Consider the following 13,636-nt stretch of genomic DNA (forward strand, 5'->3'; position numbering starts at 1 on the left):
TTAGTAGAGATGGGGTTTCACCGCGTTAACCAGGATGGTCTTGATCTCCTGACCTCGTGATCCGCCGGCCTCGGCCTCCCAAAGTGCTGGGGTTACAGGTGTGAGCCACTGTGTCCGGCCGCTGATTGAAATTCTTTACAGTGACCATAATAAGCATGTTGCTTCACAATTAAAGAGAGCCAATTAAATAGATGAGAATAGAAAAATCACAAGAGAAGGTATAAGACACGGAAGTTCCTCACTGTTCCTCTAATGATTGTTGCAGTTGACTCCCCAACATTGTTCTTCTGAATAAAATTTGTCTAGGCACTAATCTTGGTAATTACATTGTTCTGGTCTCTGACTGGTTTGGGATAGAATTGTGAAACAATCTGGTGAGTGCTACAAGGGAAAAATCTATGGGGACATCTAGGAGAAGTCCCCTTTCTGTGAAGAAAATAAAACAAAAAGAAATGGTTGATTACCTTTCCTCCTCTGGACCTCATCATGTGTGACTATGATGTCTGGAACTGCTATCAGGCTAAAGACAGAGCTAACCTACAGGAGATGGCAGTGCCAAGAAATCCCAGGAGTTTGGAGCTATCACATTTTCTTATTTATCTCTGCATGTTTAAAGCCTTCAACACAATGCTATTCCCATAGTAGAGGTTCCATATATGTTTGTTGAATTAATGAATAAATACATGAGAAAAAAGTATATTTTAAAAACCATTTTCAAGCTTTTGAAGAAAACATAGATATTGAATGAGTAAATAAATATGTAGAGTATGATGAGTCGATGAATATTCAGTGTTTACAAATAGTAGGAAATTGTATAATATTGAAGCACTAGAAATCAAGTTTGGATAGAGGACACAATTTTCTGGATAGAGAAAAGATTTTGGTATTCGTGACAAAGGAAGATTGCATAACACCCTAATTTGTGTTCTCCAAATACTATGTTTAGTTCAGTTCAACAGATTTTTTTGGAGCACTTCCTGTATGTAAAGCATTGAAGTTACAAGGCATAAAACATGGTCTTGCTGAAGTAGGTGACACACAATAGGATCATGTCTTGAATCCACTCAATTCATAATTTTGGGTATGGGAATATAAATTAGACAAATATAAATTAGACAAAAGATATGACTTTCTCATAATAAAAAAAGTCAGTGTTTTGAATGCATGGCTAAGGGGCTACACTGTTGCCCCTTAGCAAGATGGCAGAGTACAGAAGTCCCTTTTTATCTTCATGACTTGGGTTCAAATTGGTAGTGTGCTGCAGACAGTTTGACCAGCTTGTCAGAGTGTGCACATCTCTTAGTGACTCTGTGTTTAGGGTCTTCACATTAGTAACATGAAATTGGCCAAAGGGGTAGTTTATACTACGAAAATTGACAAACACTACAAATCAGGGCTCAGAGCCCTGGTTTACCAGCACACTGCTAGTTCCAATATGGTAGGTATGAAGTGTCAATTTGTTGGTATGGCAGAAAACTTTTCTCAATAGGAAGCACCTCACTATGAGAAATCAGCTATGTGACAGGGCTGAGTCCCTATACTGCAAGTTTGTAGGGGAAGGGACCTTTTTATTTCTTTGTCACTCACTATGCCCATCAAAGTGATTTCTGGATAGTAATTAATTGATATATGTTTGTTTCCTTTAAGTCTACTAGTGGCACAATCTCTATTCCATTTTGCAATACAGATAAAAAATTATTGAGAGTACTTCTTTATCTGCCATGTCATTCTAAGAACAGTGGCAATAATCAAAATAATAATTGGTACCACAATTCTTTTAGTGATTTAGAATTTTTTCAAGGGCTTTCAAATTTATTAATCATTTTATTATCTCAACAACTATAAGAAGTAGATAGGGCAGAATTGCATTAGATTAAACAAACAAGATCTTCCATCTTCAGAGCTTTTGGGGGATATTCCAAAGGCTTTGGAATTACATTGTTATTTCACCATTGTTTCTTTACCTACATGGTTATATAATGCATTGCCATCTTAAATGTCTGACGTTTTTTCCCTATAAACCCCACAATGTCACCAGGTCTCCCTTTATCCCTCAGTACCTCTGGACCTAGGAAAGCCAACGAACAGATTTAGATTTGATCTTCTCTATGGAGCTTCTCTATAGCTCCGGTTCTGTATCTTGCATTGTGGCAGAAAAGAAATCATCACTATTTACTACTGAGCCACCTGAATGGCTAACATTACAATAAGTTAAGCAACCAATATTCAGGGAAATAATAATTCTTAATATAGAGGTTGCATGTTGGTAGCTTATAGGCTCAATTAAGTTCCCAAACACCTTTTATTTATTATTGTAAGATATTGTGTTTTAAATTTCATTTTTCCAAATATTTAAAAATTCAAACCTTCACTCAAAAGCCTATTTTTTCAGGTTATTTTTTAAATAAAAAATCAAAATGACTTCACCAAACTAGGTCTAAATGCTTGCAAGAGCTGAGGGCTAGTTCAGAAGTAGCCAGTGGTCCTATTTAGATGTCTCCTAGCATCTCCTTTTGCCATAGTTCTTAACACTTCTAATAGTATTGCTATATTTATACACAAATCACTTCTTTATTTGATCTATTTAGGCCCAGTACATATGTTAATGTGCAATATCTGTCCTGATTTAAAATTATAACTGAAGCATATTTTCACTCTCAGTACATTTATCTATCCAAGCATCCCCTTATTTATTCAACTTATGTGTAGTGTACAGCTTCCTGTGTGCTAGGCACTGAGAATACAGAGATGGGAATGACATAGTCCTTCCTCTTCTGGAGCTTACAGCATATGGGAGCAAGGACAAGTAAATAAATAATTGCAAAATACTGTGTGTTATGCCCCCCTACAAAGTTAAACACAGGCCACAGTGTGAGCAATGGCAAATTCTCTGAGGAATGAGGTGGAAATCAGGCACACTGTCAACAAAGAGGTGATTAGGTGATTCCTGTGGAGTAGTTTGGTGCCTGCTGGGTGCACAAATAAGGAGGGGCATTCCAGGAATAGGGAGATGCAGATCCAACAGCTCTCAAGTATGTTGGAAGACCATGGCCTGTCTTTGAAATGCCAAATTTTAGAGTCTTTTGGAGGTTGGAAATTCTGAAACCCTGCCTTGTTGGGCTGGGAGAATCTATGTTCTGCTGAGGCTCTTGTCTCTCTGTCTTCCAAGAATAACTATCCCTGTAGCTGCCTTCCTTATATTTTTGGCCTAACACCTATTGCCTGTTATCAACATCTGAGGCTTGATCTTCTCATTCAAGGTATGTTGGATACAAAAGGCAGGTAGTAATGAATGTGTCTCTGATGAGCTCCTGAACCATGTTCTCAGCAACAAATGGCTCACGGTAGACTTTTCTAGAACAATCTCCTTTTCTTTACTGTCAATATATGGTGGCTTGGGATGGACATCTCTTTTAAGAGCATCTATAGCATCTACTTATTGCCATATGAAGTTGTTAAGAATCAAAGGAATAACTGATATGTCTGAGAGTGGTAGTCACTCAGAAAATGTTTATACAATGAATGATAAAACCTTCCCAAATTCTATAAAACTGGTTCTGAGCTATATCATTTTTTTTCTGTGCCAGGTATTATCAGCATTCTCCAACTAATTTCAAGGAAACAATGGCGTGACAATAAATTAGTTAATTTTAACATTAGTCAGGCATAATTGGCTAATGTTAAATCTAGTAAATAATAGAGAGTGTTCATCAACTCAAGTTAAAGCTACCCTAATGATGCTAAATCAGTATTCACAATATTGCAATTTTGTTCTGCCACAGATTTTGTATAAGGCAAGCCCTTCTGATTACTATTTGATTTATTATGTAAAGTTTGGGCATTGCTATTGAGTATTCCAAAAGAAAAAAATATAAATTAGCATATTTTTGATTTTTAACTTTGAGTTTTAAGTTCCTAAGTCTAAATCAAGGTATTTTTCATCATGAGGGTAAGAAATAGGAGTCCAAAGCACAGTGATATAAAGACAGTGGTAATCTGGTAAACATTTATTGTTTCTTGATAACACTAATGTTGATTTTACCATCATGATATGAATAGTAAACTTAATGACTAGTGGAATAATCACATAATGAAAATAGTAAGTTGAAATTAAATAAATGCAGAATTGTAGGTAAAAATAAAAATTAAAAATATTTTCCAGATATTGGCTATTGGCTATTCATTTGCCCTGTTTATTGAATATAATTTTGTTCTTTGATACTTACAAATGTGGAGATAAAGCCTGTTGTTTGCAGAATGTTCCTTCACTTGCTAATACTCTACAACCTATTTGTTATTGTCATTCATACAATGTCCCTCCTTTTGAAACACACAGAAACTATATGTACACTCCCCCCACACTTAAGTCATTCACCTTTGCTGCTGAAATAAATGCAAATTTTCTAATTGTATTTGAATCTGCTCTCTTCTTGTTAATTTTCAAAATTCAACAATATCGTAATCCAGCCTGGATGCAAAACATCTATCTTAGCAATTAGATTTAGAGGTGGTCCAGCTATGAACTGCTAAAAAAGAGCAGCAAAGTTTCCCTTTGAAAAAAGGCATTTTACACACAAAAACTACTGCAGCAACATTACTTCCTAAGAAACACAGGCAGAATAGGACTGCATTCAATTTGCATGCAGGTGGTGAATCTCTGAAGCGGTATTAAGGGATGAACCAGGGTGGATTAATTTCCAGTCTTTGATATTCATTAACTCCAGCTTCAGAAAAAAACACAGGGAGATGACACAATTACCCTCAGAGCTTCACCCGTGAGCAGCAGCTTTACAATCTCAAGTTCATAATGCCATACTAATTGATCAAGAAGGGGCACATACCTTTCATAAGAGGTGGAAAAGTATATGGGCTTAACTACAGCAATGATACTATTTGACTTTGGAACAGTCAACCTCACTTTGGAAACACTTAGCAAAATAGTTATCATCATTTATTCTCTAAGCCACCTGTCAATAGCTAGCCCTCCATGGTTTTCAATAATTCTCCACCAAGCAAAATGTAATTTTGGCCAAAACGTAATAGTGGCCAAGGCGCAATGTCCACTTCATTTGAAGCAACTAGCATTTAGTCTCATCACTGTATTTCTCTTTATAGATCATGGAACCTTTCAAAGATATCCTTAGGGAACACTTCAGTAAAGAGGAAAGCTTTCTTATTAGGAGGAATAATAGAAGCCATCAAGCTGCCTCAAACCCCTTCTGGACCAAAGTGGCAAGAGGAAGAGATAGGGATGGAAGAGGAATGTGCCCACAGGATCTAAGAAGTAGCAATCATAGGCTTGATGTTTACTTACCTCTGGAGCTTCAAAGATTTCAGGGTCACCATGTAGGACTGGAGGAAAGATGGCTACCAAGTCTCCCTTTCGCACACAGTAGTCCCCGGTCTCTGAACTGAGAGTCAAATCCTCCTCAACAAAACGAATGGTGGTTGAATATGAGGACAGTCGTAAAGCTTCAAAAATGCTGCTTTCTGAAGGAAAAAAACAAACGATAGCTTATTAAGATAGGGCTGGTCCTGAAAACTGCTCTCAGTTTGCAATAAAACTCATTACTAATAGCCTTGATTGAAAAGGAAACTGTTTCTTCATCACATACATTGAGCACCAAGAGGGAGCCAAGGGTGGCTGTGCACAGGATGTGAGCAGGGGCGGTGGTCTGGCTCCAGCAAGGCTTGGGGGCATTTCACAGGTAGAAGGCAGCAGTGTTGTACCTGGGCAGAAAGTCATTAAGATTTTGTAGGAGAGGGTGATCTGCTAGAGAGGAATGTTGTGTTATGGGTATATATGCTTGAAATTAAAACCATATCCCAGTTAAAATACACAGCTGGTGAGTCATTCCACAAACCTTTAGAACTCTGATGCTTTAAAGCCAGACTTAGCCATTTAATAACCACTTAGGCAGTTAATAGTAAAGTAATTGTAGTAGTGCTTTCTGAGACAGCTTAACACTTAATTTCTTTTATGCTAGCTGTAAATAAAATGTGAGTCAACATTTGCTGGAAAATTTTCAAAAGGAAAATATTTTTAGAGGATTCAGAAGAAAACCACATTTTTCTCAGCATCCAGGGAAAATAACAGGCACCATCATATCCTGGAAGATTCCAGAAGCCTAATGTCCTTCCTTTCCCAGTGGCCTTCACCTTTTACTCCTAGCACGACAGATTTTATGGCTAATTTCCGGCAATTTATCCTGGCAGTTTGAGGAGGAATTCCTTTGGGAATAATATGCATAATTTGCATAAATCATTCTGATAGCATGCATATCAGCGTGTAGCTCCTGTCTAGGTCTGCATCTCTCCCTTCATAATCAAAACTGACTATGTTTCCACCAGCGTGAATGGGTCCTAGAATATAAAGCTTGATTCTCTCTAATCAGCAATATGAAAAAAAAGCCCCAAATGGAGTTTTCTCCCCCTTCACATGATAACAAATGGTCGTGTTTATGACTTGCAATTTAGAAATCACACAGACACACACACACAGAGCCCCGTTTCTCAGTGTTCAGCAAAGCTCTGAAACACAGAGTACCCAATTATTAGATTATTAAAGGCAGGCCCATCCGTGAGGGCTTGCATCAGCCAAAAATAAAAATAAATGTTATTTCAGTAAAATTTAAATCTATGCACAGCCTGCATAAGGCTATCAAGTAGCTTTGGGTGCTTTCTCCCAGGAGGTTTTTCCTTAAGCATGCATTTGTCTAAAGAAATGAGGCTGCGGTCAGCTTTGTGTGGCCAGTGTGGTGATTCAATGTGACGTACAGTGAGGCAGTGCATATTCTCTTGGACTGCCTTCGTTATTATAATCAGGCAGAGTCAAATCGGTTTGTTGGTGATGAGGCCAGAAAAGAACTTTGGTTTTGGAACATGGGCTCTACTGCAGATAGCCACGAGGCACCTGACACGATGGATTTCAGCTGGCAGAACACCAAGGACCAACATTTCTGTGGTGAAAAGCAAGGCTCGGCCTCCCATGTACTGCTGCCGGCTCTGTTGGAGCAACAATAGCACAGCATCCTTTTAGCTTGTGGTGTGAAATGGTAGCTGACATATGTAGCAATGCTATTCACTCAACAAGTCCAGTAGGGGTGTGGGAAGAAGAAACACAAAAGCAAAATAATTGTGGGATGGCTGCTGTGACAGGGCAGGCATATAACAGTCCGAATAACATGGTCAAATCTGATTGGCTGATGTGCTCTCGGGAAGCATGGCAGCTTGCGCCCACCACAGTATCACAAATGACAATTGGGCAAGCATATCTTATGTAGAAGTTAATCACAATAATGGAGCGCAAAGTGTGGCTTAGCGGTCAGATAGTAAGTGACAAATCTGTTTTACCTTCCAGTACCAGTTATGTGTGCGAGATGAGGTTGGCTCTCGCTCTGAGCCATCATGCCGATAATCAATAGACGACAAAAGTAATGAGTTGCGTTATTATCAACAATGGAGAGTAGAGCTTACGTGGCTCTGCAGAATAACATCCAGACACAAAAGCGAGCAGCTTTTCCACCAGCCCCAGTACGAATGCAGGCAGAGCTATACGTTGAGAAGAATGACAACTGCACAATAAAAAAATTGCAGCCTCTACTTGTAGTTGTCATAGTTGAGCAGACACCAGCCAGTGCCACTGACAGACCAGCTGGGCCCTGGGAGGACTTCCATGCTGCACCAGGAGGTACAGTAAATTATCCTGCACGGTAGAGCAACATCTGTTTCTGTGCTAGTGCCGAACAAACAAGGCAATTTAAAACATACCAAGGGATAACCAAGCAACAAATGAACATGACCCTCATTTTTTCCCCCTTCTCACACATGAGGTGCTAAACTTCTTTGTGCAAGCACTCCATGAAAGAGAAGCCAGGTTTTTATTTGATAAGGTGTTGTCAGAGAGATTTTACATGTTTCCAAAGTGGAAAGAAAAAGCTTATAGTATTGTTATTCTTAGAATCTTCCCCCTTCTATCTTAATTTCTTTTATACCAAAGCTAGCACTCAGTTCTCAATTCGCTCTAGAATTAAAAAAAAAAAAAAAAAACTTTCCATATACTTATAAATATTCAGTCTTTAAACCTAATTTGCTATACTTAGTTCACATGCCTTCAAGCATTTGTCTTCCAATTTCCACTGAATAAATGCGTACTAATGAGAACTAGAGCAAGCTGCTGAGGCAAAGCTGGGTGACTTGGGTCTGGCCTGCCACCAGCTTGTGATAGGCGGGCAAATTGAGTTAAAATGAAAAGTCTTGTCAGCTGAAATTCAACATGGTAGCCAAACAGCAAGCTGTCAATCATCCAGCCAAAACAGGGGACTGCAGGTAATAAAAGGTCATTGTGAGTCATTAATGCACTTGGCTTTCATATGGAAGTTAATTTTAATTAAAGATGATCTCTATCTGTAAATGTTTTATAAAACTTATTGTGTATAATGGATTGTTAATTTATACTAACATTTAGCAGGTAATAGGACTCTAATTATTAGAATGCATTGTCGAAAAATGACCATCAAGAATGCAAATATTTTGAGATAAAATTTACACCAGGCACTGCAAGCTGCCAACAACTGCAACTGTGATTAAGATAAGGCTGCCTGTGAGTTGTTAAGAACTGAGCTTTACTGACCAGTATATGCTAGGAAATTGGATTCCAAAATTCCCTCTATGATCTCACAATTCAGAGCATGCACTACATTCTTCACCTGGCTAGGGAAGACTTCTTTCTCTTTTCAGGATACAAAATTATTTTGATTAAGTATCCCTTCTAAGTGAAATGCCAGGGAATGTCTTGAGCTAAAATCTTTTACAACACAATTGTGAAGAAAAATAACAAATAAAAAATTATGGTTAAAAAAGGCATGCACATATTCTCTTTTGCTCTCAGTTCTCAATTCTGGCTGTAATAAAGGATGGATGATTCTCATTTGCAGATTTACAGCACTAAAGCAGCTTATGACAATCAATAATGCATGTTACAACACAAAAACAAATAAGCATATCTGGGTTTCTGCCTCACACTTAGGCCCTGTCTGTATATGTGGAATGAATGTACTGTGACATGGCCAGGCTGTTAATTTGGGTCATCTTAATGATTGGTGCAGGCTGGCATGCCATTTGATTAGCCATGGTGATCAGAGGATAGCAGCAATGGATAGAGTGAAATGAACAGCCAGAACCTGCTGCAGTCACTGGGGCTGAACACTGGGTGATCTTAAAGAGAAGGTGGTTATAAAAGGGGGAGAGGGGTTGGGTATGGAGGTGGTGGTGGTTATAAAAGGGGGAGAGGGGTTGGGTATGGAGGTGGTGTGCTCTGGAAGGTGTCATGGAATGGAGTGAAGCTCATGATGTGTGCATGTGTATGTGCATTTCTACATAAGTGTCTTCAAGGCAGTTGAGAAGGTAAATAAGAAATTGTGATAATCATATAATTTGAGGCAAAATAATTAATCTTTGGCTCAACAATTGTACATCTTAAGTAAAGTTAAAAATAAATCTGAATTGGTACAAATGCCTATCTTCACTCTGCATCTCAGACACAGTCTTTGGTTCACTGCTAAAATACAGACATGTAAATTCGGCGTTCATATATTCCATAAATGTTTGTTAAGGCCCTACTCTGCTTGGAGCACTGGGCCACTGCTGCTGGTGTGAAAAAGGAACACAGCACATGGACTTGGCCTTCATGGACAATGCAATCTAGGAAGTTCAAAGTTGGAAAATACATATAAACAGGAATGCTCCCAAGATCCTACTGAAGATATTGCACAGTTGCTTTTATTTATTTAATTGACAAATAAAAATTGGATATATTTATGGTGTACAACTTGTTGTTTGGAAATACGCACACATTCTGGAATGGTTAAGTCCAATAATTAACATATGCAATTACCTCACATACTGATCAGTTATTTGTGGTGAGAAAACTTAAAATCTACTCCTGTGGCAATTTGATACTACACATTTTCTAATTGGATAACTCCAATGATAGCATTCAGAAAGCCCATTTTAGTAGAAAGCCATTTTTCATACTGAGGTGAAATTTTCCTCCTTTTAATTTCCACCCTTTATAAAACACACAGGCCAAAAAAGTCTAATCATTCTTCCACATAACAACCCTTTCAAAGTATGTAAAGACAACTATCATGCCATTTTCTAATTGTGTATCAGAGATGATATGGTGTTTAGCCTTTGCCATGCTGGATGAATTCAATTAGTCAATGTGCCTCTTAAGACTTGGCACAACTAGGTGTGTACTATTTTAGTTGGAAAAGTACAGAATTATTAATTTATGTCCCTAGACACCATGCTTCTATTACTATTTCCTGGGAGCAGATGAGCAACAGATTTTTGAAATAATATCACTATTGTTTTAAATTTTCTGATATGCCAGAGATTATCAGCAACCCTGGATGGCCATTAGAATCACCTGGGATTGCTTAAAAAAATAAATGCCCCATTCCAGTCTAATGGAATCAGAACCACTGCATTAACTAAAACCTTTCAGTTAGAGGCTTTGAATCTTGGCTGCACATTAGAATCACCTAGGGAGCTTTTTTTAAAGCCATCAGTCTGCACCCCAGACCAATGCAATCAGAATCTCTAAGGGTGGGGCAAGGTATGCAAAGTGTTTAAAGCCTCCCAGGTGGTTCCAATGAGCAATCAAAGCTAAGAACCATTGCTTCAAACCCTTTTCTGCTGAGTCACATGTTTCTCATCCTATTCTTACAAAGTTGATATTTAGATCTAAATACAATAATTTGCATTTTAATTAAAGTTGCTTTTCAATCCTTTCAGATTCTGTTTCCAGCATTCCTTATATTATCTAACCACCTTAGCTTTGTGCTGAGTTGAAAATCCGATGAACATCGAAATCAGTATTTTTCACTTTTTAACTGCTGTTTCCTTATATTAGATATAAAATTTTCACTATTTACATCCCTGAGTTTCTGATGTACTTCTTTGTGGAAGATGCTTCACCCACTTCCTCCAGTTAGAAGTTCCTAAATAAAGTTATGTCTTCTGTAAATCCTCATTAGAAGAGAGGATGTTGCAAAACTTCACTACTGTCTGAATTATGTAATCTTTTAAGCTTTTGAATACACAATTATTTTATAATATTTGAACGAGCTTTTTCAAAATAACACCCATAATCTTTACAAACATATCACACTAACGTAAAACGTTCATAAGGGAAACTGTGTGGGGGATATATAGGAATGCTCTCTATTATCTTTGTAACTTTTCTATAAATCTAAAACTATTCTAAAATAAAAAGTTCATTTTTATTAAAAAAATACCCACAAGATTCTAATGTGAACCTCTAGTTCTATCCTTACCCTTAAACCCAACTGCATTTGAGAATCAGTAATATATATCTTATAAAAAATACTGGTCAAGGTCTCCAGTCCATTTCTAGAGCATTTTTGTCTGAGGCGACAGTCATTATGGGTAGGCATTAAAGTTAGATCTGGCATCAACTTCTGGTTCTGCCACTATCTAGCTGTATGACTTGCATTAGTTTAGCAACATTTCTGAACCTCATTATTCAATAATTGAATAAAAATAATACTTGACAAATAACCTAATATACATAAAACACTTAACACAGTGGCAGGCACATATTCAAATAATAATTATTAATATTATCATTCATAATATCTTATCCTGAAGCTAAAAATTCAGCCAACTGTATGATCCTCTGGCCCATGTTGCCTGATCTTGTCCACATGCACATCATGCCTGGCTTTGTAGAACTGAGATACAAAGAATTCCTCTCCGCTCTCAGCTGGGATAATGAAAAAAGATCTCAAGGGCTCTGGTATCAGACAGGCCTGAGGGGAAAAGCATGGGCGTGGTCAGAAAACCTGAGTTAAAGACCTGCCTTTCTTCTTAATCACCTCCATGATCTTAGACGGGGTATTTAGCACCCTGAGAATTTTCTCATCTGTGAAAGTGACAAAATAATAGCTGTCACTGTCCTCCAGAGTATCCTGGTGCTGATGACATGAAACAATGTCTATAAGATTGCTTTGAAATATTGAAATCGTTAATATATTTAACATGGATTGCATCTAATTATCATTATTATTTGTTATTAAAGGACCTTAATTTTTTCCTTTCTGTATTCTCCTCCCACACCAACTACTCACAATCGGCTTCAAAATCTTTCATCAAATTTCGATGTGGACTCACTGCAAGCTCATACTTCTAGAGTTATAATTTTTAATATTCTCTTTTTAAAAAAGTATTACAGATTTTGCCCAGTTCCAGTTTTAAGGCATCTCCCTTTACTTTAACATCCCTCACCTGGACCATGTTTGCAACTTTTCTCAATTTGAGGATACGTCACTCAACAACATTAGGTGTCTACAATTCACCTGAGCCATGTGGCAGTTCTGATTTACCTTGACTTTCCAGAGTATGTTTGCTCTTTTCACTGGTGAGTCATCGAAAGAGCGCTCCTGTGAGGTAAGGTAGACTTGAGCATGATGTTCATAAATAATTGCAAATGAAGAAAACAATATAAACTACATAGGGACATTGCAGAGGTTAAATGTCATTTTGGTGATAACAACAGATAACATTTATTGAGCCTATACCGTGTACCATTATACTAAGTTATTTATCCATTATTCAAATAAACCATTAAGAAGTGGTATTCATCAAGCTTATTTGCAATTGATCTATCAAAATTCCAATTTTGAGAGCTTTTACTGCTTGCATTATCTTTTTTTCTTATCTTTGTCTTTCTGAATTATCTTTTATACTTTTCTTTTTCCTATATCTAAACCCGCAGTTCTAAATCCTACCTCCACCCCAGATTTTTTTCTGAGATAACTGAAAAATTCTTACTTTTCTCTCAGAGTTTCTCAAACTTCCATTCTATCAGCAATTTTTTTCCTATTGAGATTTAAGCCCCAAGTAACAGTTACTGAAACCTTATATCTACTTATTTTAAATTTTCAGTTAAATGTAATTATAGAGATCTTAACTAATTATTAATAGATAAAATGTTTTACTGAGGTCATAAGCAGAATCTTAACAAGATACGTAAATATATAAAATATATAGTTGTGTTTTCTTTGCCTAAAATAAGAGTAGAATAGTTTTAAAGAGAGATTCTCAAAAGCATTGAAAAAAGGACAAATCTATCATAACCTCTTACAGCAGATGATTGCTTTAAATTACTTAAACAGACTTTGGCAGTCTAACGTTTCTTCTCACCCTGCTTTATAATCAAAGTGTGCTGACATGCAAAATTTCTGTAAAAAGAAGAACCTCTTTTCTCTTTACTGTAATAGTGCCCAAATCCTCCTTCCTGGTAAAAAGTACAGCAATCATTTTATCATTGTAATCTTTTTTCCTCTTATAATGATAAAAGTTTAAACTTTTTTTTAAGACATTGCATTTAAAATACATAGAACTCTTTCCTTAAGAAGACAAGAAGGATAAGCACATACACACATACCACGTGGCACATGGTAAATATTTAACTGTGTAAGTCTTGCCTTTGTACATATACTTCATGCTCTCTTGATATAGAGAAATACAACTGAGCTATGACTATGTGCAGAGGTTATTTGTTGTGTAACTAATTCACATATAAGTTTGCTCTGATCTGCATAAAACC

General features: G+C 37.1%; 1 protein-coding gene across 3 annotated transcripts in view, besides 1 other annotated feature; it reads right to left on the reverse strand.

The window, feature by feature from the left end:
* CYP7B1 (cytochrome P450 family 7 subfamily B member 1) overlaps nt 1-13,636 on the reverse strand; it is a 212,163-nt gene that overhangs the window by 12,793 nt on the left and 185,734 nt on the right. For all 3 annotated transcript variants that reach the window (NM_001324112.2, NM_004820.5, XM_017014002.2), the window contains one exon: nt 5,315-5,490. In NM_001324112.2, the coding sequence (NP_001311041.1) occupies nt 5,315-5,490 (176 nt within the window). The remainder of the gene's footprint in view (nt 1-5,314; nt 5,491-13,636) is intronic.
* Nucleotides 10,396-10,929: an enhancer, noted in NCBI's record as "NANOG hESC enhancer chr8:65522320-65522853 (GRCh37/hg19 assembly coordinates)". NCBI's record gives its function as "activates a minimal SCP1, AML or CMV promoter by ChIP-STARR-seq in naive H9 embryonic stem cells {active_cell/tissue: H9 hESC(naive)}" and the evidence as "EXISTENCE:reporter gene assay evidence [ECO:0000049][PMID:30033119]".

Source organism: Homo sapiens, chromosome 8 (genome assembly GCF_000001405.40).
Source record: "Homo sapiens chromosome 8, GRCh38.p14 Primary Assembly".
Classification (NCBI taxonomy): Eukaryota; Metazoa; Chordata; class Mammalia; order Primates; family Hominidae; genus Homo; species Homo sapiens.